The 25478-nt window shown below is 47.7% G+C and overlaps 2 protein-coding genes and 1 long non-coding RNA gene across 40 annotated transcripts in view, besides 2 other annotated features; 2 read left to right on the plus strand and 1 right to left on the minus strand.

Annotated features, from left to right (window-relative positions):
* The window catches only part of R3HDM2 (R3H domain containing 2), a 177378-nt gene extending 174887 nt beyond the window's left edge, over positions 1-2491 (minus strand). For 23 of the 38 annotated variants that reach the window (NM_001351217.2, NM_001351213.2, XM_047428529.1 and 20 more), the window contains exon 1: positions 2070-2393. Coding sequence is in view for 13 of the 38 variants with exons in the window: in XM_047428518.1 (XP_047284474.1) it covers positions 1894-1935 (42 nt within the window). In the remaining 25 variants the exon portion in view is untranslated. Of the gene's footprint in view, positions 1-1893; positions 1996-2069; positions 2394-2414 lie in introns of those variants that run through there. The other 15 variants (XM_047428522.1, XM_024448885.2, XM_047428526.1 and 12 more) reach the window with 3 other exon arrangements.
* Positions 1535-1644: an enhancer, noted in NCBI's record as "active region_6535". NCBI's record gives its function as "activates an Ori minimal core promoter by ATAC-STARR-seq in GM12878 lymphoblastoid cells {active_cell/tissue: GM12878}" and the evidence as "EXISTENCE:reporter gene assay evidence [ECO:0000049][PMID:35858748]".
* Positions 1825-2294: a silencer, noted in NCBI's record as "silent region_4580". NCBI's record gives its function as "represses an Ori minimal core promoter by ATAC-STARR-seq in GM12878 lymphoblastoid cells {active_cell/tissue: GM12878}" and the evidence as "EXISTENCE:reporter gene assay evidence [ECO:0000049][PMID:35858748]".
* On the plus strand, positions 2466-5285 carry R3HDM2-DT (R3HDM2 divergent transcript). Its single transcript, NR_185976.1, has 2 exons — positions 2466-2780; positions 5053-5285. It is a non-coding gene; the product is annotated as a R3HDM2 divergent transcript (long non-coding RNA).
* Positions 5286-6133: 848 nt separating this feature from the next.
* INHBC (inhibin subunit beta C) lies at positions 6134-23412 on the plus strand. Its single transcript, NM_005538.4, has 2 exons — positions 6134-6549; positions 20627-23412. The coding sequence occupies exons 1-2, from the start codon at positions 6237-6239 to the stop codon at positions 21370-21372; spliced, it is 1059 nt and encodes a 352-aa protein (NP_005529.1). The 5' UTR covers positions 6134-6236; the 3' UTR covers positions 21373-23412.
* Positions 23413-25478: the final 2066 nt, after the last annotated feature.

Consider the following 25478-nt stretch of genomic DNA (forward strand, 5'->3'; position numbering starts at 1 on the left):
CAACAACAACAAAAAGTAACATTGGTTTTTATTTTGAAAGAGAAAGGAAGCCATCTCCTGTCTTAATTTTCCATTAAAAAATATTAGGCATGCTATTATTTTTTTTTTTTTTTTGAGACAGTCTCTCGCTCTGTTGCCTAGGCTGGAGTACAGTGGCACGATCTTGGCTTACTGCAAAATCCGCCTCCTGGGTTCAAATGATTCTCCCACCTCAGCCTGCCAAGAAGCTGAGATTACAGGTGCCTGCCACCACGCCTGGCTACTTTTTGTATTTTTAGTAGAGACGGGGTTCCACCATGTTGGCCAGGCTGGTCTCAAACTCCTGACCTCAGGTGATCCACCTGCCTTCGCCTCCCAAAGTGCTGCGATTACAGCATGAGCCACCGTGCCCGGCCAGTCAGGCATGCTATTTTTATTTGTCAAATTTTTTTAAAACTTTACATTGTGAAGCTCTGCCAAGAGCAATGGCTCACGCCTGTAATCCCAGTGCTTTTGGGAGTCTGAGGCCAGAGGATCACTTGAGGCCAGGAGTTCAAAACCAGCCTGGGCAACATAGCAAGATCCCATCCCTACGAAAAAAAAATTGTGAAGCTCTACTAATCATATAATGGACACAAAGACAAATGGAACTTCAACTCTGAAATTTAACTTGTTAGGAGTTCATCAGGCCTTCAAGAAAAAAGTTATCTTTTCTCTCAACTCTCTGGAGAACAGCAACAGGGTAAGAAAAATACAACTAAAAACTGAACTGAATTAATCTAACCGGCCACTTTTCACCACTATTTAAACTTTTTGTCTTTCCCGGCGCGGTGGCTCAAGCCTACCACTTTGGGAGGCCAAGGCAGGTGGATCACTTGAGCCCAGGAGTTCCAGACCAGCCTGGGCAGCAAGGTGAAACCCGTCTCTACAAAAATCAGCCAGGAGTGGTGGCTCATGCCTGTACTCCCAGCTACTTGGGGGACTGAGGTAGGAGGACGGCTTGAGGCCAGGAGGCAGAGGTTGCATTGAGCCGAAAAGGAACCACTACACTCCATTCTGGGTGACAGACTGAGACCCTGTCTCAAAAAACAAAATACAACCTTTTGTCTTGATACCCCAGCAACAAAAAGGGGGGCGGGGGTGGGGGGGGAATATTGGTGGAACAACAACAAAAAAAAGCATTAGGAAGAAGAGCCACAAATAATTCAACTGCAAATCTATCTAAAAATACAAGAAAATGCTAGGAATTTGTGATATTCCTGAAGTGAAACCTGTCACTTTCCTCCTTCCTTGAGTCTCCACGTGGCTTACGCATATCAGACAGGACTCAGGCTTCTCAATCTTAGTTATCTATTTGAACAACATTATGTACAAGGATATTCATCCAACTGGGATCTGAATTCAAACTTTTCCACTTTTCTTTCTTCCGTTTTAACGCAGTTCTGGGATTGTTATTCGGTCATTTCTCATCATTATCCAATGACAATTCACTCTAAGTCAGTATTCCTGGTAGTTCCGAGACTTAATGGCCACAAATGTTGAAAAATGTTAGCTCTACGGGAAAACGAATCGAAGCGTTTTCAGGGGCTCGAGTAGTTATGAGCTTAGTGTAGGCCCAAGTTTTAAGCTATAGAAACATCTCCCTGTATGTGCCAACTCAAATCCCCGTCCCTGTAAGAAACCTGGACACCAGCATGATTTTAAACACTTCTACACCTCTCCGTCCTATTTTTCCATGCTCCACGCTCGAAGGAAAACCGCCACCCAAGAAACACACGGAGCTAGCCACCCCGAAGCACTGGAAGGGCGCAATAGTTTTTAGGTCACCCCGCAAAGGCCACAGGTGGCGCCACCCCCCTGCCCCCGCACCGCCGCCCTCCGCCCCGCGCCCCCAGCTTCTCTCCAGCAGCGCACACTTGGAGCAGTCCTTCCCGCGGCCATCCGACCCTGACCCATCGTCCCCGGGACCGGCTGCCGGGCGCGAGGAACCCAGGCCGCGGGGCCTCCTCGCGCCCGCCCGTGCGGCCGCCACGCCCCCTCCCCACAGGCCGTCCGGGCCGCCCGCCCCCTCGGCCGGGAGGTGGCCTCACCTCGCACGGGCCTTGGCGGGGAGGGCGCCCACGTCTCCGCCCGCCGCCCGGGCCCACGGCCGCTCGGCTGCGGCTCGGCCCCGACGGCCGGCGGCGGCGCGCTTCTGGGGGCGGGCTTTTCTCGGCCGGGGCTTCCCCGGGGCCGAGGGCTGGGAAGCAGGGGGGACTGGGACGGGGGAGGGGAAAGGGGCTTGGGAAGGAGGGGGGAGAGGGGAAGAAAAGGGGGGAACCAAACCCGGAAAGGGAGAAAAGGGGGGAGGGGAAAATCAGAAGGGGAAGAAAAGCCCAGAGTCCGCCCCCCGCTGCGGCTGCGCGCTACGTCACTACGTCCGGCGTTGTCGTCACCTCGTCCTGCGTTCCGGCCGTCCCTGCTTCCTGGCTTCCCGCGTGCCCCTCAGCAGCCCTGCGGGGCCTACCGCCTGCCGCACGCACTCCCGCCGGCGCGCGCGCACTCGCACTCGCTCGCTCGCCCTCTCCTCCTTCCGCGTTACCTGTGTCAGGACACCAATCCGGAGTCACTGGGAGCCTCGGTCCTCCTTAAACCCTTCAAGTCTGTCAGATAGAATACCCTGGATTTCAATATAATACTAATAGTGATCATTCTAAAGTAATTTCCATTTACAGAGCACTTTCACTTAGGGCAGTAACTCCTGTACCAAAAGAACGTACACTCGGTATTTGTTGCATACGTGGATAACTATAGTTGAGCAGGTAAATGTCCATTTTACGTAAAGATGAAAAAAACCGACCTAGGAGGAACTCAGTCTGTCCTATTAAGATCACATTCTTACCATCATCCCCTCTCTAAGATACAGTTCTCAAAAATCGTCTTAAATGTCCAGCCTCCCCCGTTTTGTCCATTCTAGGCAGAATCAATTTAGTTATTGATTATGTGTGTGTGGATAATTTACTGACCAAACTCCCTCAAAGAAGCAATGTAGTCTTTTGTAGAATTCGACCATTAAATATTTACCTTGTGACAGAAACTGCGGTAGGCAAAAAAAGTCAAATAATTATAGTACAATTTAAGTGCTATAATAGAAAGGTTTAAATGTGCTATGGAAACACAAGGAACAGCAATTCGTTCTTAGCGGTAAAAGAGATTGAGTAAGTTACAGAGAAACTACAGGTGAAACTCCAGCTAATCTTGAGACTATAAATAGTTCACTAGAGAGGTAAGAATGGAGATTCCAGCAAAGTCATAGAGGCATGAAGTTCATCTTTCCTTCAAGGATGAGCAAGTTCCAGGTTGGTTGGCGTTTTTTGTTTGTTTGTTTGTTTGTTTTATTTATTTTGAGATGGGGTCTCGCTTTGTCACCCAGGCAACTAGATTGCAGTGGTGCAATGTCGGTTCACTACAACCTTCACCTCTCAGGTTCAAGTGATTCTCCTGCCTCAGCGTCCGGAGTAGCTGGGACTACAGGCACGCACCATCACACCCGGCTATTTTTTGTATTTTTAGTAGAGACGGGGTTTTGCCATGTTGGCCAGGCTAATCTCGAACTCCTGGCCTCAGGTGATCCACCCGCCTCGGCCTTCCAAAGTTCTGGGATTACAGGTGTGAGCCACCTTGCCCAGCCCTCTCTCCTGGTCATCACTGCCTCCTGCCCCCAAATTCTCTCAACCCTCTAGAGAACAACAACGGGGGAAGAAAAATACAACTGAACTGAACTGATCTAACCTGCCACTTTTCACCACGATTTAAACTTTTTGTCTTGGCCGGGCGCAGTGGCTCACACCTAGCACTTTGGGAGGCCAAGGCAGGTGGATCATTTGAGCTCAGGAGTTCCAGACCAGGCAGTGATGACCAGTAGGAAATAATAGCTAATATTTGTATTATGTGTATGTAAGTACAATATAAAATGTGTAGCATTCTACATCTATTGTTAGTATCAAATCCTCAATACAATAGGTACTATTATTATACCTGTTTTATAGATGAGGAAACCTGAGGCACAATAATGAAACCAAAGTTCCAGATTTTTTTTTATTTTTTTTGAGACGGAGTCTTGCTCTGTCGCCCAGGCTGGAGTGCAGTGGCATGATCTCAGCTCACTGCAACCTCCACCTCCCGGGTTCAAGTGATTCTCCTGCCTCAGCCTCTCAGGTAGCTGGGACTACAGGCATGTGCCACCACGCCCGGCTTATTTTTATTTTATTTATTTTTTTATTTTTCTTTGGTATTTTTAGTACAGATGGGGTATCACCATGCTGGCCAGGCTCGTCTCGAACTCCTGACCTCAAGTGAACTGCCCACTTCAGCCTCCCAAAGTGCTGGAATTACAGACGTGAGCCATCACGCCCAGCCTACAAGCACATTTTTAAGGGCAAAAAAGAAGGAGACAGGGAGTAGACTGATACAAAGTTGTCGGGTATTCTTGTTGGTTTACAGAAATAACATTGATTAGTGATTGGCTATAGATTGTTAAGCTATAGGATCTAGGTTATAGTGTCCAGTGCAGCATTATTATGTTAATTTATAGTTACTTGTGGCAATAGCAAGCAATTTCAAGAGATGAATACATAGCTCAAAAGCAGGAAGTAGGACATGATTGCCCTCTCATTTTATTTATTTATTTTTTATTTATTTTTTTGAGACAGGCTCTCACTCTATTTCCCAGGCAGGTGTGCAGCAGTACAATTACAGCTCACTGCACCTTCAACCTCCTGGGCTCAAATGATCCTCCAGTCTCAGCCTCCTGAGTAGCTGGGACTACAGGAACACACCACCACTCCCAGCTTTTTTTAAATTTTATTTTATTTATTTATTTTTTATTTTAGTATGGATAGGGTCTGGCTATGTTGCCCAGTCTGGTCTTGAACTCGTGAGTTCAAATGATTTGCCCGCTTTGGCCTCCTAAAGTGCTGGGATTATAGGCTTGAGCCGCCATGCCTGGTCTGCTGTCTCATTTTAATGTCTCTCTGAGCCTGATAATCTTCAAAGACTTGCATTTCCCAGATTAAAATTGTTTTATTTTCTCAGTGCCATGACACAGAATGAAAGCCTGAAATGTTTCTGAGACAAGTGCAAGAACTGAAGAACAACAACCAAGAATACCTGGATTTAAAACCTATACTCCTGGCCAGGCACGGTGGCTCACGCCTGTAATCCCAGCATGTTGGGAGGCCGAGGCGGGTGGATCACAAGGTCAGGAGTTCAAGACCAGCCTGAACAACATGGTGAAACCCCGTCTCTACTAAAAATACAAAAATTAACCAGGCATGGTGGCACGCACCTGTAATCCCAGCTACTTAGGAGGCTGAGGCAGGAGAACTGCTAGAACCCGGGAGGCAGAGGTTGCAGTGAGCTGAAATTATGCCACTGCACTCCAGCCTGGGCGACAGAGTGAGACGCCATCTCAAAAGAAAAAAAAAAAAAGGGAATCTCAAAACTTCTTTTCCAAGACAGAAAAAAACCCCAAAGGGTGAGCAAATCTGGAACTCAAGCCCTTTCCCCACCTTAGGAGTTCCCTCTGAGAGCATCAAAGACATGGCTAGAACACTGTGCCTCCCTTCCCTTAACCTTCAGACTTCATAGTTTTGAGACCTCTTGGGCAAAACTCAACCAGGGCTAACAAATAAGGCTGGATTGAGAACCCCAGGAGGGAGGATGGAGGGATGGGGATGGGCTTTGAGAAACACCAGGCAAAAAAGAATGCAACTCTCAATTGTTCATGCGTGACAGTGAGCTAAAGTGCCTTGCCAATGACCCCTTCTTGTTTGAGAGTCTCCCTTTAACATTCTTTCCCAAAACCTGTGATCTGTCCCTTTCCACCATCCCCAGGATTCCCAGCAAGGGTAGAGATCTGAGGAGGAATTTAATCTCTCACCTTTGAACCCCAGGCCTGGCAGCTCACATGGATAACAACTGTCTCCCAACATTGGCCCAGGGACGTGTCTTTCCCTAAACAAACCAACCTCTCCTCACATCCCCCACTCTGTACTTTCACTGACTATGCGTTGGCAGATTCTGCCAAGTTCTACCTGTAACTGGCTTCATTTTCAAGTCAGACGTTTGGCTGCTGCTCTGTCCCCTGCAACAAGGAGCCATGCCAGCTGGACACACACTTCTTCCAGGGCCTCTGGCAGCCAGGACAGAGTTGAGACCACAGCTGTTGAGACCCTGAGCCCTGAGTCTGTATTGCTCAAGAAGGGCCTTCCCCAGCAATGACCTCCTCATTGCTTCTGGCCTTTCTCCTCCTGGCTCCAACCACAGTGGCCACTCCCAGAGCTGGCGGTCAGTGTCCAGCATGTGGGGGGCCCACCTTGGAACTGGAGAGCCAGCGGGAGCTGCTTCTTGATCTGGCCAAGAGAAGCATCTTGGACAAGCTGCACCTCACCCAGCGCCCAACACTGAACCGCCCTGTGTCCAGAGCTGCTTTGAGGACTGCACTGCAGCACCTCCACGGGGTCCCACAGGGGGCACTTCTAGAGGACAACAGGGAACAGGAATGTGAAATCATCAGCTTTGCTGAGACAGGTGGGTTCCTGATCTGTAGCTCTTCCCCAGAACTTGACCCCTCAAGGAAAGGAAAAGTTTCCTCGCCAGACTTACCTCTGACTCCTTCCCCAAAAACCATCCAACCCCTGCTTCCCACAGGCTATAATCTCCTTACCCAGGTGTCCCGACAACCCCCACATCCCTCTGGGGTCACTCTGGTAGCTCAGACCTGACCAATAGGCAGCTGGAAAGCTGGTAAATTTCACTTCTTTTGAGATTGGCTGCCGTCATCTCCTCCGGCTCCTCTCTCTGCAGGCCCCACAAACCCACAGGCTGTGGTGTGAGCCCATCCACTTCCTGGGCCTGTACACAGCGACTGGGAGGTGGGAGTCTCTCCTTTCTCTGGCCCCAGGATCTAGCCCCTCCCTTCCCCTCTCCTCCAGATGCCTCATTTGAGTAAAAGAAGAAAAAATAAAACACCAGGACTGCAATACCTCACCATATGTCATGTTCCCATATATACCTCAGGTCCCCATATCACAGAGAACAGGGTCAAAATGGGACTCAGAAAGATGGATAAAGGGGCTGGGCACAGTGGCTCCTGCCTGTAATCCCAGCTACTCAGAAGGCAGGAGGATCACTTGAAGCCAGGAGTTCGAGACCAGCCTGAGCAACATAGCAAGACCCTTTTTTTTTTTTTTCCTGAGACGGAGTCTTGCTCTGTCACCCAGGCTGGAGTGCAGTGGCGTGATCTCGGCTCACTGCAACCTCCACCTCCTGAGTTCAAGGAATTCTCCTGCCCCAGCCTCTTGAGTAGCCAGGATTACAGGTGCCCGCCACCACACCCAGCTAATTTTTGTATTTTTAGTAGAGACTGGGTTTCACCGTGTTGGCCAAGCCGATCTCAAACTCCTGACCTCGTGATCCTCCCACCTCAGCCTCCCAAAGTGCTGGGATTACAGGCGTGAGCCACCGCGCCCGGCAACCCTGTCTCTTTTTTAAAAAACTTTTTTTTTTTTTTTTTGAAAGAGTCTCACTCTGTCACCCAGGCTGGAGTGCAATGGCATGGTCTCAGGTCACTGCAACCTCTGCCTCCTGGGTTCAAGCAGTTCTCCCACCTCAGCCTCCCGAGTAGCTGGGACTACAGGCGTGTGTCACCATACCCGGCTAATTTTTGTATTTTTAGTAGAGATGGGATTTCACTATGTTGGCCACGCTGGTCTCGAACTCCTGACCTCGTGATCCGCCTGCCTCGGCCTCCCAAAGTGCTGGGATTACAAGTGTGAGCCACTGTGCCTGGCCTTTTCTTTTTCTTTTTTTTTTTTTTTTTTTGAGACAGAGTCTTCATCTGTCACCCAGGCTGGAATGCAGTGGTATGATCACAGCTCATTGCAGCCTCAACCTCCCAGGCTCAAGCTCAGGTGATCCTCCCACCTCAGCCTCCCAAGTAGCTGGGACTACAGGTATGCGCCATCATGCCTGGCTAATTTTTTTTATTTTTTATTTTATTTTATTTTATTTTTTGAAATGGAGTCTCGCTTTGTCACCCAGGCTGGAGTGCAGTGGCGCGATCTTGGCTCACTGCAAGCTCCACCTCCTGGGTTCACGCCATTCTCCTGCCTCAGCCTCCCGAGTAGCTGGGGCTACAGGCGCCTACCACCATGCCTGGCTACTTTTTATGTATTTTTAGCAGAGACAGGGTTTCACCGTGTTAGCCAGGATGATCTCGATCTCCTGACCTCGTGATCCTCCTGCCTCGCCCTCCCAAAGTGCTGGGATTACAGGTGTGAGCCACCGCGCCCAGCATATATTTTTTTACAGAGACAAGATTTCATCATGTTGCCCAGATTGGTCTTGAACTTTTGGGCTCAAGCAATCCACTCGCCTCGGCCTTGCAAAATGCTAAGATTACAGACATGAGCCACCATCCCCGGGCTAAAAATAGCTGGGTGCGGTGGAGTGCACCTGCAGTCCCAGCTATTTGGGAGCCTGAGATGGCGGATCATTGAGCCCAGGAGTTTGAGACTGCACTGAGCTGTTTGCACCACTGCCCTCCAGCCTGGGCAACAGAGTGAGACCCCCATCTCTAAAATTAATTAATTAAAGAAAGATAGATAAAAGAGGACAAGGAAGAGAGATAGTTACTTCCATAGACAGGGGAATAGTTGGAGTATATAGTGAGCAGATCAGGAATTCTAAGCCAGGACTCTAGAAAATGCAAATTGAAGGCCGGGCGCGGTGGCTCACGCCTGTAATCCTAGCACTTTGGGAGGCCAAGTCGCGCAGATCACAAGGTCAGGAGATCGAGACCATCCTGGCTAACATGGTGAAACCCCGTCTCTACTAAAAATACAAAAAAAATTAGCTGGGCATGGTGGCAGGCGCCTGTAGTCCCAGCTACTCTGGAGGCTGAGGCAGGAGAATGGCATGGACCCAGGAGGTGGAGCTAGCAGTGAGCCGAGATTGCGCCACTGCACTCCAGCCTGGGGGACAGAGTGACACTCCGTCTCAAAAAAAAAAAAAAAGAAAGAAAGAAAATGCCAATTGAGCCCTTTGCAAGCTTTTTCTTAGGTCTGGAAGACCCTTCCCATTTCTGGCCCCTCATTCCCTCGTTTTTGTGTTTGTTTGTTTGTTTGTTTGTTTGAGATGGAGTCTCATTCTGTTGCCCAGGCTGGAGTGCAGTGGCACAATCTCAGCTCACTGCAACCCCCGCCTCCCGGGTTCAAGCCATTCTCCTGCCTCAGCCTCCCGAGTATCTGGAACTACAGGCGAACACCACTAAACCTGGCTAATTTTTGTATTTTTAGTAGAGACGGGGTTTCACCATGTTGGCCAGGCTGGTCTCGAACTCCTGACCCCAAGTGATCTGCTCGCCTCAGCCTCCCAAAGTGCCAGGATTACAGGCGTGAGCCACTGCACCCACCCCTACCTGTTTCAAGACCCTGCTTGAACTGGAGCTAGATAGCCTGGGCTCAGATTCTTGCTCAGCCATTTATTAGCTGTTTGACCTAGTGGTTAATAGTTTTCTCATGTGTTAAATGGGGATAATAAGAGGATAGTTGAGATAATTAAATGGGCTAATACAGGTAAAGTACTTTGAATGTTAAAGTGGAAGGGAGCAGGAACTAGAGAGTAGACTTAGTGCCTGCCCATGGAGGAAAGGGACAAGGCAAATCTCTGGAAACTTTTTATAAAGGCACTAATTCTATTAATGAGGGCTCCACCCTCATTACTTAATCACCTCCCAAAGGCTCCACTTCCTAATACCATCACATGGGGGTTATGATTTCAACATATGAATTTTGAGGGAATGTAACAGCCTCTCTCCATGAAGCCTCTTATCATTCAATAGTCTATCCCAAGTTTCTTTAGAGAATGGTGGCCAGATTCCAAGAGGATAATTTCAATGTGTAAATTATTCTCAAACTTCTACATACACCCTGCTTGCTAATGTCCCATTGACAAAGCAAGTCATTGTAGCCAAGCCTAGAATCTATCACTGTGAGATGGAACTAGACGAAGGCATGAAAGCCATGAGGTAGTGTTTACTGGGGACTACCAATCTAGCAGCCTACTAAAGTCTGCCCTCTGACCCCTAACAATTTATATCTCTCCCACAAGCAAAATACAATCATCCTCTCCCAGCTACCCACATCAAAATTTCATCCCTTTATGGCATCAGGATCGGGCTAAAGTTCAGCATCTCATCACCTGAATTAGGTGCAAATATAGGTGAGGCTCCTCTGGTACATTTCTTCAGGTGCAGGGGCCTTCAGTGATGTCCTAGCGCTGGCTTATTCAGACTTATGAAAGCTGATTGTGAACATCTTCTCCCAACTCAGCATTCAGTGATGTCACATTAGCAGCTAGAAATCAGCCATGGTGGGCGAATTTGTAGTCTTATAGAAATTGACAAAGACTACAAATCAGGGCTTTTGATTTTTTTCCCTGGAGACCAGTTATTAAACATTTACCAGCATACCACTGTCTGCGTCCTAAAAATACAAGTTCTCTACCTCCCACGCACTTAACATACAATGCTGAGACAGGGACAGGATAAACATAATAGATATTCCTGTTCAAAATGGGGTATGGGAGAATAGGAGACACAGAGCAGTCACTGATCCATAAAACTTCTTATATTCAGCCAGGCAAATATCTAGGTCCACTCCAAACCCAGAATTCCCTTGGTTAGTTAGGGCCTGGTTCTGCTCCCTGGTATTTCCCATTGCTCACCACTGCTCTCCTGGACTTCCAAATCCACCCTCTCAGCCCTTGGCCTCTACCTGCTGAGGTGTCTTTCCTTTTAAATAGGAAATAATCTGTGTTTGTGGCTGAGTAGTTTTCTCAGCCTACTTTCTGCCCAGAGTTGGGGGCCCAGAGACCCCTTTTTATTTTGAATTGTCCCTTTTAGTCCAAACTGGTGCTGCTTTCAGTATTAAACTTCTCTTTAAAACTCTGTGGACCCTGTAAATAATAAATTGTAGTCTACTCAGTTACACAGAAGGCACCACATTCTATCAAGACAGACACTTCTTTAGGCTACAAGTCTGTGTCATGGGATGACACCTTTAAGATGTTTAGAAGTGCATTTGTCTAGTTGTGAGGGTTGACAGAACATCGTCTTAAATTTTAGATCTCAAAAAAAAATGTTAGATCTTAACAAGCAAAGCGTTTTTTTGGTTTGTGTTTTAGAGTTGGTCTTGCTATGTTGCCCAGGCTGGAGTATAGTGGCTATTTGCAGCCTCAATAATATTGCCTTATAGCCTCAAACTCCTGGCCTCAAGGGATCCTCCTGCTTCAGCGTCCTGAGTAGCTGGGGCTATAGGCATGTGTTCCCATGACCAGCTAACAAAAGGTTTTATAGCTGACCCTTTATTTGTTTTGATCTTCACTCTGAGTCCCTGTATTACTGGAAATGCCCTGGATTTGATTTTTGCCCTGAGGTAATTTCTTACTTTAAGAACCTTTTGTCAGAGAGAAAGAATGAAAAAGAATTTTTGTCATTATTTTTCTTTTCTTTCCTCTACATGTACAACATGAAGTAAAAGGTTTTGTTTTGTTTTGTTTTCTGAAAAATTAGCAACATAGAGTAAGCGGTTCTATTTTTTAATTTAGCAAGTCCTTTTAGAAATATTTTCTCTAAATTCTGTTTGAAAATTGAACAGTGCCTTTTTTTTTTTTTTTTTTTGAGACGGAGTCTTGCTATGTCGCCAGGCTGGAGTGCAGTGGTGCAATTTTGGCTCACTGCAACCTCTGCCTCCCGGGTTCAAGCGATTCTTTTGCCTCAGCCTCCTGAGTAGCTGGGACTACAGGTGCACACCACCACACCCAGCTAATTTTCGTATTTTTAGTAGAGATGGGTTTTCAGCATGTTAGCTCGGATGGTCTTGATTTCTTGACCTTGTGATCTGCCCGCCTCAGCCTCCCAAAGTGCTGGGATTACAGGTGTTAGCCACCGCACCCAGCCACAGTTCCTTTTTTAGTTCATCTCTCTCCCGAAATGCCTTATCGTAGGCAACTAAAATATACCAACTGGCATTTTCAGCATTCTGCCTGGAAATATCATTAGCTAAATTCACAACTTTGTTAGATATCTTTCCTGGCTTCTAAGTTACCACAGGTGATAGCCAATACACAATACAAGTTCCCCTTTCTTCAGCTTCCAATAGCAATTTCCTCACTGTTCTTCCTTCCTTTACTAACAGTTTCTTCCCTACCCTTCTAACTTCTGCCTGCCACTCATTCCCGAAGCCGGTGCAACTGACCAAGCACAGTGGCTCATGCTTGTAATCCCAACACTTTGGGAGGCCAGGGTGGGAGGATCACTTGAGGCCAGGAGTTTGAGACCACCCTGGTCAATATAGCAAGATGTTTCTTTAAAACAAACAAACAAACAAACAAAACAAAAAGCCGGGTGCTGTGGCTCACGCCTGTAATCCCAGCACTTTGGGAGGCCAAAACGGGTGGATCACCTGAGGTCAGGAGTTCGAGATCAGCCTGACCAACATGGAGAAACCCATCTCTACCAAAAATACAAAAAATTAGCCAGGTGTGGTGGTGCATGTCTGTAATCCCAGCTACCCGGGAGGCTGAGGCAAGAGAATTGCTTGAACCCAGGGGGTGGAGGTTGCAGTGAGCCGAGTTCGTGCCATTGCACTCCAGCCTGGGCAACAAGAGTGAAATTCCATCTCAAAAAAAAAAAAAAAAAAAAAAAAGCCAGGTGTGGTGGTACATGCCTGTAATCCCAGCTACTGGGGAGGCTGAGGCAGGAGAATTGCTTGAACCCAGGAGGCAGAGGTTGCAGTGAGCCAAGATCACGTCATTGCACTTCAGCCTGGGCAATAAGATCAAAACTCCGTCTCAAAAAAAAAAAAAAAAAAAGTCAATGCAACATATTTTAGGTTTTTGTGATGGTAGCACCCCACTTCTGATACTAATTTTTGTTTCAGTTACTTATCAATATAACAAACCAGCCCAAAACATAGAGGCTTAAAACAACACATTCATTATTTCTCATGATTCTTTTTTTTTTTTTTTAGATGGAGTCTCACTCTGTTGCCCAGGCTGGAGTGCAGTGGCACAGTCTTGGGTCACTGCAACCTCCATCTCCAGGGTTCAAGAGATTCTCTTCCCTCAGCCTCCTGAGTAGTTGGGATTATAGGTGCCCGCCACCATGCCTGGCTTTTTTTGTATTTTTAGTAGAGACAGGGTTTCACCATGTTGGACAGGCTGGTCTTGAACTCCTGACTTCAAGTGATCCACCCACCTCAGCCTCCCAAAGTGCTGGGATTACAAGCATGAGCCATTGCCCCCAGCCACTCTCATGGTTTTGTGGCTTGACTGTGCTTATCTGGACAGTTCTTCTGCTCCATGTGGTGTAGCTGAGGTCTCCCATGCAACTTCATTTGGGGACTCAGATGGGACTGGAACATATAAGATGGTCTCTAATCCTCCAAAGTCTCTCTCCACATGACTTCTCCTAATTTAGTAGTCTAGCTCAACTTCCTTTAAAGCACTGCGGCTGGCTTCCAAGAGTGGAATGCCTCAATATGTAAGTACTCAATAAACACCATGCTTGCTAATGTCTCACTGCCCAAATCAAGTCACATGGCTAAGCCCAGAATTAATATGGAAAGGGACAGCACAAAGTCATGAATACTGGGAGGTGTTGGCCTTTGGGGCCAACAGTGTAATAGTCTACTACAGCCCCTGTTGGTCTTGTGTTTGCCTGCCATAACTGGAGTGACTTAAAAGGTACTAACTATAGGGTGCTTTGTGACCTAGCAAGGAAAAGATTAGTTGGGCCAGTCAGACTCTTTTAGGATTTTGGAATTGGGACACTGGAAGATCTGCTCACTTAGGAGGAGCTGAGCAAAAGGTCCTATAGACTTGGGACCTGGGCCACAATTTTGGGACCTGAGGAAGCTAACAAGGAGGCAGAAGTAGTAGATCCACAGAGAGAGAAGAGTGGAACTGACTTATCTAGAGAGAGAGATGAAAGAGATCTTATTGGCTCTGAGAGCTGTCAAGAGCAGCCTTGTTCCTGTTGGGCACGTTGGCTCACACCTGTAATCCCAGCACTTTGGGAGGTTGAGGTGGGCGGGTCACCTAAGGTCAGGAGTTCAAGACCAGCCTGGCCAACATGGGGGAAACCCTGTCTCTACTAAAAATACAAAAATTAGCTGGGCATGGTGGCAGGTGCCTCTAATCCCAGCTACTCGGGAGGCAGAGGCAGGAGAATTGCTTGAATCCAGGAGGCTGAGGTTGCAGTGAGCCGAGATTGCGCCACTGCGCTCCAGCCCAGGCGACAAGAGTGAGACTCCGTCTCAAAAAAAAAAAAAAAAGAACCTTATTCCTGACTTTCCAATTTACATGAAGCCTAGTTGAACTTCATACCCCGCCTTTTTGAGCCCATGAGAGTATCAGTTCCATTCCCATAATAAAGCACTCTTTTTTTTTTTTTTTTTTTTTTTGAGACGGAGTCTTGCTCTGTTGCCATGCTGGAGTGCAGTGGTGCGACCTCGGCTCACTGCAACCTCTGCCTCCTGGGTTCAAGTGATTCTCCTGCCTCAGCCTCCTGAGTAGCTGGGACTACAGGGGCGTGCCACCATGCCCAGCTAATTTTTTTTTCTTTTTTTAAGACAGAGTTTCACTCTTGTTGCCCAGGCTGGAGTGCAATGGCATGATCTCAGCTCACCGCAACCTCCGACTCCCAGGTTCAAGCAATTCTCCTGCCTCAGCCTCCCGAGTAGCTGGGATTACAGGCATGCGCCACCACGCCCGGCTAATTTTGTATTTTTAGTAGAGATGGGGTTTCTCCATGTTGGTCAGGCTTGTCTCGAACTCCTGACCTCAGGTGATCCACCCACCTTGGCCTCCCAAAGTGCTGGGATTACAGGCATGAGCCACTGCGCCGGGCCTCATAAAACATTTTTCACTTAAAAAAAAAAATGGCTAAGGCCAAATTACAATGGGTATTTAACTGTTTCCTAAAAGAGTTAGGACTTTATTAACTAATAAGGTTTTTGAGACCATGAATTTTATGATCCATCCATGTTTTGGGAAAAGAATCCTGATGTTAAAATAATTATAGAAATGAAAGACCATTCAACAAGTATTTTGTTTGTTTGTTTGTTTGTTTTTGAGACAGAGTCTGGCTCTGTCACCCAGGCTGGAGTGCAGTGGCGTGATCTCTGCTCACTGCAACCTTTGCCTCCTGAGTTCAAGCAATTCTCCTGCCTCAGCCTCCTGAGTAGCTGGGACTACAGGTGCATGCCACCACACTCGGCTAATTTTTGTATGTTTAGTAGAAATGGGGTTTCACCCTGTTGGCCAGGCTGATCTCGAATTCATGACCTCATGACCTCAGGTGATCCTCCCATCTCAGCCTCCCAAAGTGCAGGGATTACAGGTGTGAGCCACCACACCTGGTCTCAACAAGTGTTTATTGAGTGCTTACTAAATACCAAGTACTAGGGATACAATGGTGAGCCATACAGGCACAACCGCTGTTTTCATGGAGCTTACATTCTAGCTGCAGGGAAGAAAGAGGGGTAGGAGAAATACGTAGTAAACAAATGAACGAAGAACCACACTGGACCGGACTTGGTGGCTCATGCCTGTAATCCCAGCACTTTGGGAGGCCGAGGTAGGAGGATCACAAGGTCAGGAGTTCCGGAGCGGCCTGGCCAACATGGCAAAACTCCGTCTCTACTAAAAATACAAAAATTAGCAGGGCATGGTGGTGCATGCCTGTAATCCCAGCTACTCAGGAGGCTGAGGCAGGAGAATTGCTTGAACCGGGTAGGTGGAGGTTGCAGTGAGCCAAGATCGTACCACTGCAATCTAGCCTGGGTGACAGAGCAAGACTCTGTCTCAGAAAAAAAAAAAAAAAGAACCACACTGATTACAGAGCATGATAATGGCTATACAAACAGTTAAGCAGGATGATGTATTAGAGAGATGGAGGCAGAATTGAAGGCTATTTTTATTTTATTTTATTTTATTACGTTTTATTCTATTTTATTTCATTTTTGAGACAGCCTTGCTCTGTTGCCCAGGCTAGAGTGCAGTGGCATGATCTTGGCTCATTGCAGCTTTGACCTCCTGGGCTCAAGTGATTCTCCCGAGTAGCTGGGATTACAGATGTGTTCCTCCATGCCCAGCTATTTTTTATTTATTTATATATTTTTTAGTTATTGTAGAGACAGGGTCTCACTATGTTGCCCAGTCGGTCTCAAACTCCTGGCCTCAAGCAATCCTGCCACCTTGACCTCCCATAGTGCTGCGATTACAGGCATGTGCCACCACGCCTGGCTGAAGCCTGCTTTAGATAGATTAGGAAGGAAGCCTGAAGCCTCTCTGAGGAGGAGACATCTGAGCCGAATGCCAAAAAGAACTCAGTCATTCAAAGATCTTGGAAAGACATTCCAGGGAAAGAGACTAGCAAGTGTAAAGGCTATGAGATAGCTTTATGTTTGGTGAATTTGAGGAACAGAAAAAGGCCAGTATAGGCAGGGTGTAGTAGTTAAGTGTCAAACAAGTTTCCTATTTCAAGGAGTTTAGATTTTATCCAAAGAGCAAGGGGAAGACTTTGAAGTGTTTTAAGCTGAGAAGATAAAACTAATCAGATTTATAAAAAGATCACTGGCTGATATTTGGAGAATGGTTTGGAGAGCAAGAGTGAATCACTTGAGTGAACGAAAGCTACAGTTAAAGAAAAAGATGGTTGTGAGTTGGACTAATGAGTAGTAGAGGAAGTGGGGAGAAGTGAAATTATATTATGAATTAGAAGTAGAGTTGATAAAACTTTCAGATAATTTCAAAGTAGAGGATAAACACAATCAAGATTTTGCCTTAAGCAATGCGTTTATGGGGAGAAGTTTGGAGAAGGAACAGGTTTGGACTGGGGGGATACATTTAGACTTCCTTGTACAGGATTGAGGCTGGGCACATTGACTTATGCCTGTGATCTCAGCACTTTGGGAGGCCAAGGTGAGAGGATCACTTAAGGCCAGGAGTTCAAGACCAGTCTGGGTAACATAGTGAGACCCCCCGCCCATCTCCATGTAAATTTTTTTTTTTTTTTTTTTTTGGAGACAGAATCTCGCTCTGTCATCCAGGCTAGAGTGCAATGCAATGGCATGATCTCGGCTCACTGCAACCTCTGCCTCGCAGGTTCAAGTGATTCTCCTGCCTCAGCCTCCCAAGTAGCTGGGATTACAGGTGCCCGCAGCATGCCTGGCTAATTTTTGGTGGTTTTTTTGTTTGTTTGTTTGTTCGTTTTTTTGAGACAGAGTCTCGCTGTGTTGCCCAGGGTGGAGTGCAGTGGCGCGATGTCAGCTCACTGCAACCTCTGTCTCCTGGGTTCAAGCAATTCTCCTGCCTCAGCCTCCCGAGTAGCTGGGATTACAGGCATGTGCCAACATGCCTGGCTGATTTTTTGTAATTTTAGTAGAGACAGGGTTTCACCATGTTGGCCAGGTTGGTCTCGAACTCCTGACCTCAACTGATCCACCTGCCTCTGCCTCCCAAAGTGCTGGGATTACAGGCGTGAGCCACCACACCCGGCCTAAAAATTTTTTTTTAATTAAAAAAAGAGATTGAAATATCATTGGATGTCCAAGTCAAATATCAGATAGCCACTTGGACATACAAGGCTGGGGCTCAGGGAGAGGTCAGGACCAGATATATATATTTGGAAGTCATCAGCATATAGATGGAATTGAAAGCCATGGAATGGATGATCATTCTGGGAGAGGGTATAGATAGTGAAGAGAAGGGAGCTTAGGACTTTATTTATTTATTTATTTATTTATTTATTTATTTATTTATTTATTTATTTATTTGAGACAGGGTCTCATTTTGTTGCCCAGCCTGGAGTGCAGTGGTGCGTTGATGTCTCACTATAGCCTTGATCTCCCAGGGTCAAGCAATCCTTCCACCTTAGCCCTCCGTAGTAGCTGGGACTACAGGTGTACACTAGTACGCCTGGGTAATTTTGTAATTTTTGTAGAGACAGGGTTTTGCCAAGTTGTCCAGGCTGATCTCACTGATCTCAAACTCCTGGACTCAAGCCATGCATCCACCTCAGTCTCCCAAAGTTCTGGGACAAGTGTGAGCCACCACGCCTGGCCTGACTTCCAACATTTAAAGGTTGGGCCGACAAAGAGGAGCTGTCGATAGAGGAGAAAAAGATAGAGTGGCCACTGTTATAAAAGCCAAGAGAAGAAAATATGGAAGAAGGAGGGAGTGGTTAACTGTGTCAAACACTGCTTAAAGGTCAAGTAAGATGAATACAAATGGTTAGATTTGCTTTGTGGAAGGTGTTGGTGATCTTGACGTGTGCAATTTCAGTAGAGTGGAGGGAATAGAAACCCAACTAAGATGTTCAGTAAGGAAGGTGAGGGATGATAAGAGGAAATTGGGCAGTAGTAATAGGGATACAAAGAAATGCACAGACATTAGAACCATTCTGGTGAGACAAGGTATAGGGGGAATGAAGAAAGTAATCATAGTTTGTTTTTTTTTTCTTTTTTTGAGGCGGAGCCTCGCTCTGTCTCTCAGGATGGAGTGCAATGGTGTGGTCTTGGCTCATTGCAACCTCTGCCTCCCAAGTTCAAGCGATTCTCCTGCCTCAGCCTCCCAAGTAGCTGGGATTACAGGCGCCCACTGCCACGCCTGGCTGATTTTTGTATTTTTAGTAGAGATGGGGTTTCACCATGTTGGCCAGGCTTGTCTCAAACTCCTGACCTAAGGTGATCCACCTGCCTCAGCCTCCCAAAGTGCTGGGATTACAGACGTGAGCCACCACGCCTAGCTGATCATAGAGTTTTTACAGGTGATGAGGGTAGTGGCACCACCAAGAATGAAGAGGGGGTATATAGGAAGGAAAGTAATTATTTTTCAGGTTGAAAAAATTGATTAAAAAAAATATATAGGCCAGGCGCGGTGGCTTACGCCTGTAATCCCAGCGCTTTGGGAGGCTAAGCAGGGCGAATCACTTGAGGTGAGGAGTTCAAGACCAGCCTGACCAACATGGAGAAACCCTGTCTCTACTAAAAATACAAAATTAGCTGGGTGCAGCTACTTGGGAGGCTGAGGCAGGAGAATTGCTTGAACCCGAGAGGCAGCGGTTGCAGTGAGCTGAGATTGCGCCATTGCACTCCAGCCTGGGCAACAGGAACAAAACTCCGTCTCAAAAAAAAAAAAAAAAAAAAAAAAAAAAAAATATATATATATATATATATATATATATATAAAATATATGTGTGTGTGCTTGTGTTTGTATATATGTATGCATACATATATACATATATATACACACATGCATACACACATATGTATTTATAAGATGGGGTCTTGCCATGTTGCCTGGGCTGGTCTTGGGCATGTTGCCTCAGTCTCCCAAGTAGCTGGGATTACAGGCATGCACTACTCCACCCAGCTCTGGGACAAATTGATTTTAATGTGCTGCCAGGACATTCATGTGACAAAAGTAAGTAGTTAGAAATCTAGGCCTGAAGCTTGGTGATTTCCAAATCTATATGTCCGGTCCAAATATGCAAAATGCTCTGGTCTGGGCATACAGATTTGGGAATCACCAACATAAAAATTGTGTTGCTTGGCTGGGCGTGGTGGCTCACGCCTGTAATCCCAGCACTTTGGGAGACTGAGGTGAGTGGATCACAAGGTCAGGAGTTCAAGACCAGCCTGGCCAACATGGTGAAACCCCATCTCTACTAAAAATACAAAAATTAACTGGGAGTGGTGGCAGGCACCTGTAATCCCAGCTATTCAGGAGGCTGAGGCAGAAGAATCACTTGAACCCAGGAGGCAGAGGTTGCAGTGAGCCAACCTCACGCCACTGCACTCCAGCCTAGGTGACAGAATGAGACTCCGTCTAAAAAAAAAAAAAAAAAAAAAAATTATGTTGCTTGACCATGAGTCTAATTAAGAGCTCCCTTAATGTAGACTAGAAGGAAATGAAAGTCCAAGACAGACCTTGGAAAACTCTGATATTAAAGGGATGGTCAGAGAAAGAAAAGCCAGCAAAGAAAACCAGGAAGAATTATAACAGAGTTGTGTCATGGAAGCCAAGAGAGAAAAGATTTTCAGGAAGGAAAGAATTGTCAGCAGTGCTGTCTTAGTCCGTTTTGTGCTGGTGTAACAGAATACCACAGACTAGGTCATTTATAATGAGCAGAAATATATTAACTCATGGTTCTGGTGGCTGGGAAGTCCAAGATCAAGGGGCTGGCATCTGGCGAGGGCCTTCTTGCTTCTTGCTGTGTTATTCCATGGCAGAAGGGCAAAGAGAGGGTGGGGCTGATAATTAAACTTATCCTTTTATAAGGTACCCATTCCCAAGATAAGGGCATTAATCCATTCATGAAGGTGGTATTCCCATGACCCAAACACCTCCCATTAGGCCCCACTTCCCAACACCACTGCATTGGAGGTCCAATTTCCAGCACATGAACTTTGGAGGACATGTTTAAACTGTAGCAAATGCCAAGTGCTATAGACAACTCAAGAATGCTGAGTACAGAGAAATAGTTGGTAGAACTGACAGTCAGAAGGCCGCAATGACTGGGGCTTCTTATGTCCACAGGCCTCTCCACCATCAACCAGACTCGTCTTGATTTTCACTTCTCCTCTGATAGAACTGCTGGTGACAGGGAGGTCCAGCAGGCCAGTCTCATGTTCTTTGTGCAGCTCCCTTCCAATACCACTTGGACCTTGAAAGTGAGAGTCCTTGTGCTGGGTCCACATAATACCAACCTCACCTTGGCTACTCAGTACCTGCTGGAGGTGGATGCCAGTGGCTGGCATCAACTCCCCCTAGGGCCTGAAGCTCAAGCTGCCTGCAGCCAGGGGCACCTGACCCTGGAGCTGGTACTTGAAGGCCAGGTAGCCCAGAGCTCAGTCATCCTGGGTGGAGCTGCCCATAGGCCTTTTGTGGCAGCCCGGGTGAGAGTTGGGGGCAAACACCAGATTCACCGACGAGGCATCGACTGCCAAGGAGGGTCCAGGATGTGCTGTCGACAAGAGTTTTTTGTGGACTTCCGTGAGATTGGCTGGCACGACTGGATCATCCAGCCTGAGGGCTACGCCATGAACTTCTGCATAGGGCAGTGCCCACTACACATAGCAGGCATGCCTGGTATTGCTGCCTCCTTTCACACTGCAGTGCTCAATCTTCTCAAGGCCAACACAGCTGCAGGCACCACTGGAGGGGGCTCATGCTGTGTACCCACGGCCCGGCGCCCCCTGTCTCTGCTCTATTATGACAGGGACAGCAACATTGTCAAGACTGACATACCTGACATGGTAGTAGAGGCCTGTGGGTGCAGTTAGTCTATGTGTGGTATGGGCAGCCCAAGGTTGCATGGGAAAACACGCCCCTACAGAAGTGCACTTCCTTGAGAGGAGGGAATGACCTCATTCTCTGTCCAGAATGTGGACTCCCTCTTCCTGAGCATCTTATGGAAATTACCCCACCTTTGACTTGAAGAAACCTTCATCTAAAGCAAGTCACTGTGCCATCTTCCTGACCACTACCCTCTTTCCTAGGGCATAGTCCATCCCGCTAGTCCATCCCGCTAGCCCCACTCCAGGGACTCAGACCCATCTCCAACCATGAGCAATGCCATCTGGTTCCCAGGCAAAGACACCCTTAGCTCACCTTTAATAGACCCCATAACCCACTATGCCTTCCTGTCCTTTCTACTCAATGGTCCCCACTCCAAGATGAGTTGACACAACCCCTTCCCCCAATTTTTGTGGATCTCCAGAGAGGCCCTTCTTTGGATTCACCAAAGTTTAGATCACTGCTGCCCAAAATAGAGGCTTACCTACCCCCCTCTTTGTTGTGAGCCCCTGTCCTTCTTAGTTGTCCAGGTGAACTACTAAAGCTCTCTTTGCATACCTTCATCCATTTTTTGTCCTTCTCTGCCTTTCTCTATGCCCTTAAGGGCTGACTTGCCTGAGCTCTATCACCTGAGCTCCCCTGCCCTCTGGCTTCCTGCTGAGGTCAGGGCATTTCTTATCCCTGTTCCCTCTCTGTCTAGGTGTCATGGTTCTGTGTAACTGTGGCTATTCTGTGTCCCTACACTACCTGGCTACCCCCTTCCATGGCCCCAGCTCTGCCTACATTCTGATATAACTGCTTCAACACTAGGGGGTCCTAAAGGCTTTCTATCTTGCTAGTCCCTGGGGCCTCAACATCTCATACTGGTTCCCTTAACTCTGCCTATACCTCTGTAAATAATTCCTTCACTAAGTTCTCTTGATGAAGCAAAAACAGACAGCTGAAAAGTCCTCTATCTCCTACAAGGGCCCTAACTGGCACCCCAGATGACACAGAGCCTGCCTGCTTATGCTGTAGTCTGCCTACTCTGCTGTCTCTTCACATGGTCTCCTCAGAACTGAACTATTGTATCCATCTCACACTTTATGCCTCTTCTTTCTTAGGCACCCCGTCCCTCCATCCTTCCAGAACCATCTTTGAGGTCTCATGGCTAATAAAAACCTAGGCTTTACCTGTTCCCTCTGTAATCCCTCCAAAAGATGAGACAGATCTATGCTTGGTCATCCAGTAAACTGACCAGCTGTGGGCACGCAAGTGTGGGAGGCAGAGGCATGCTCAGAGCTGGCTGCCAGGACCTCTGACTTGCCTTCCTTTCACCCACCCCCAGTGCTCCACCCAGGAGTCCTGCCTGGAAGCTGGAATGGGCAAGGGCTGCTGGAGTGGGACAGGGAGAAGAGGAAGGCCTGGATGAGGAGAGGGTGGCATTTGCTCTGAGACTGGGTCCTTTTTAGACCTTTGCCCGTCCTCCCCCACATCTCCTCCCTTTGGCTGGACAGTCCTGAACCATGAGGTCGATAATGTCTGCAGCCCAAGGCCGAGTTTGCGCAAAACCCATGTGTTCTTTGGTAAACGTGATGTCTGTGTTTGCTCAGTTTATGACCCCCTCCTATGAGGGTAAGAGGTCCCTGAAATAGGAACCCTAGAGGAGAAAGTCTGAAAAGGACTGCCTGGGGGACTGTAAATCTGAGCTTGAGGGCTTCCTGAGCAACCCATGGAAGTTATCCCACCTTTGACTTGAGGAGACCTTCATCTAAGGAGAATCTAAGGAGGCCTTCTGGTGTCTCCCCCACACATCCCCGACCCCCAGATCTAACCTCCTTCCCAATTACAGCTTAGTCTCCAGGGCTAGGACTGGGGTAAAGCAAAGTGAGTCATTCACCTGGGGGGGCTAAATTTTAAGGGGGTGGTGAACAATTTATTAATCAAGATAGGACTTTAATGCAATATTATTTTAAAGTCAAAATTAATGCAAAAAATCCATGATGAACAAAATAGCCTACTTTTAAATAAAAACAGGATCAGCATTATTCCCTTTCTTTTTTGGCTCTGTCTTTTGTAATAAGGGGAGAGAGTGGGTCTGTCTTCTTCTAAACATTTTCTTCTAGAGCTTCCTAGCTCCTACCTCTGGACCCCTTCAGGCTTTTCTCATTTGAGCAAGATAACCACTCCCACTTCTTCTACTTCCTTACCCACCCCCAAGCCTGTCGCTATCCCCCAGCCCCCAACCAGGTTGGTGGTAGGGCAGGCAGTGAGGCAGATGGCTGGGGTATTTATAACCCAGGAGCACTTCTTGGGAAAAGTGACTAAGATGCTAAGAGCGTATTTATAGCTGAGCTCTGACGTAAGTGTCAGTGGGGAGGTAGGGCCAGGCCAGGCACAGCAGCAAGCGGGTGGGAAGAGCTGGAAACTGGGGGCATCTGACAGTGAGGGTGGGGAGAGGTGGGGTCAGTGACTCCTGCAGCCACTTCTTGTCACTTCCCCTGACTGCCTACTGATACCAACAGGTAAGCCGTCTGAGGCACCACCATGGATAGATACCTCCACTTTGCTGACCAATGTTCCAGACCCGAGGGGGTAGAGGGCTGTCATTTCCCAGCCCAACCAACAGAATGGTTGCTGGGAGCTGGGGAGAACACTGGACAGAGCTCTTGAATGTGTTTCAGAGCTTGGGGAGAAATGCAGGGTGGACAGGAGGGTCTAATCGTCTCAGTGCGCCCCCACCCCACTCCACCCCCACCAAAGAGTGCCCTGAGGTTCTAGGAAGAGCCTGGTACATCACCAAGCTCCATTGCCACGTGTTTGTGTGATGAGGTCCAAAACCAAAGGTAGCAGTGATGTGGATCCTGAAGACAGTCTCTCTTCTCTGGCAGTGTGATGGGGAAAGAACAAAGGAACCAGCTTGTCCCTGTCTCTTGTGGGGGAGGCAGCGTCCCCAGAGTGAGAGGTCGAGGGGCACTCCTCATCACTCCATTCCCCAGAGCTGCCCCTTCCCTGTCCCTGGGAAGCTCCAGCCAGCTACAAGCCAGCTGCTGTCCAGAGGCACGGCACTGCCACATGGTGGACACTGGTGGTACTGAGGTCCAGCCTTCCAATTAGGAACCCTGTCGCCTAGATCTAATAGTCTCTCTTGACAGCCCCCATCATCTAAACAGAGGGGAGATGAGCAAAGTGGAGTAAAGACACATTTCCAAATCACACCCACTTCCCCCACAGCTTTCTCCCCATCAAGCTTCTTGGAGAAATTGGGGCATAAGGAGAAAAGCTAGCATGAGGCCCACCTTCATGAATTCAATGTGGAGGGGTCTGGGTCCCCCCCCATTTAAAGCCAGTGAGGACTGGGTGTGGTGGCTCATGTCTATAATCCTAGCGCCTTGGGACGCTGAGGTGAGAGGATCGCTTGAGCCCAGGAGCTTGAGACCACCCTGGGCAACACAGCAAGACCCTGTCTCTACAAAAGAATAAAAAATAAATTAGCCTGTGTGGTGTGGTGTGGTGTGGTTGGTGTGGTGGCACGCACCTGTAGACTTAGCTACTCTGGAAGCTGAGGTGGAAGAATCACTTAACCCAGGAGGTCAAGGCTGCAGTGAGCTGTGATCAGGCCACCACACTCCAGCCTGGATGACAGAGTAAGACCCTGTCTCAAAAACATAAAAAATAAAATAAAAAATAGGTCAGGTGCGGTGGCTCATGCCTGTAATCCCAGCACTTTGGGAGGCCGAGGCGGGCAGATCATGAGGTCGGGAGATGGAGACCATCCTGGCTAACACAGTGAAACCCCGTCTCTACTAAAAATGCAAAAAACTAGCCGGGCGTGGTGGCTGGCACCTGTAGTCCCAGCGACTCGGGAGGCTGAGGCAGAAGAATGGTGTGAACCCGGGAGGTGGAGCTTGCAGTGAGCCGAGATTGTGCCACTGCACTCCAGCCTGGGCGACAGAGCGAGACTCAGCCTCAAAAAATAAAATAAAATAAAATAAAATAAAGACAGTGAGAAAATGTGGTCAGGAGGGCTGAGACTGGGAACCAAGACTGCTGTATTTGCCTTGCTTTGTTGTCAAAAGCTCTTAGAGCTCCCATTTTCTACCCCCATTAACAG

This window comes from Homo sapiens, chromosome 12 (genome assembly GCF_000001405.40).
Source record: "Homo sapiens chromosome 12, GRCh38.p14 Primary Assembly".
NCBI lineage: Eukaryota > Metazoa > Chordata > Mammalia > Primates > Hominidae > Homo > Homo sapiens.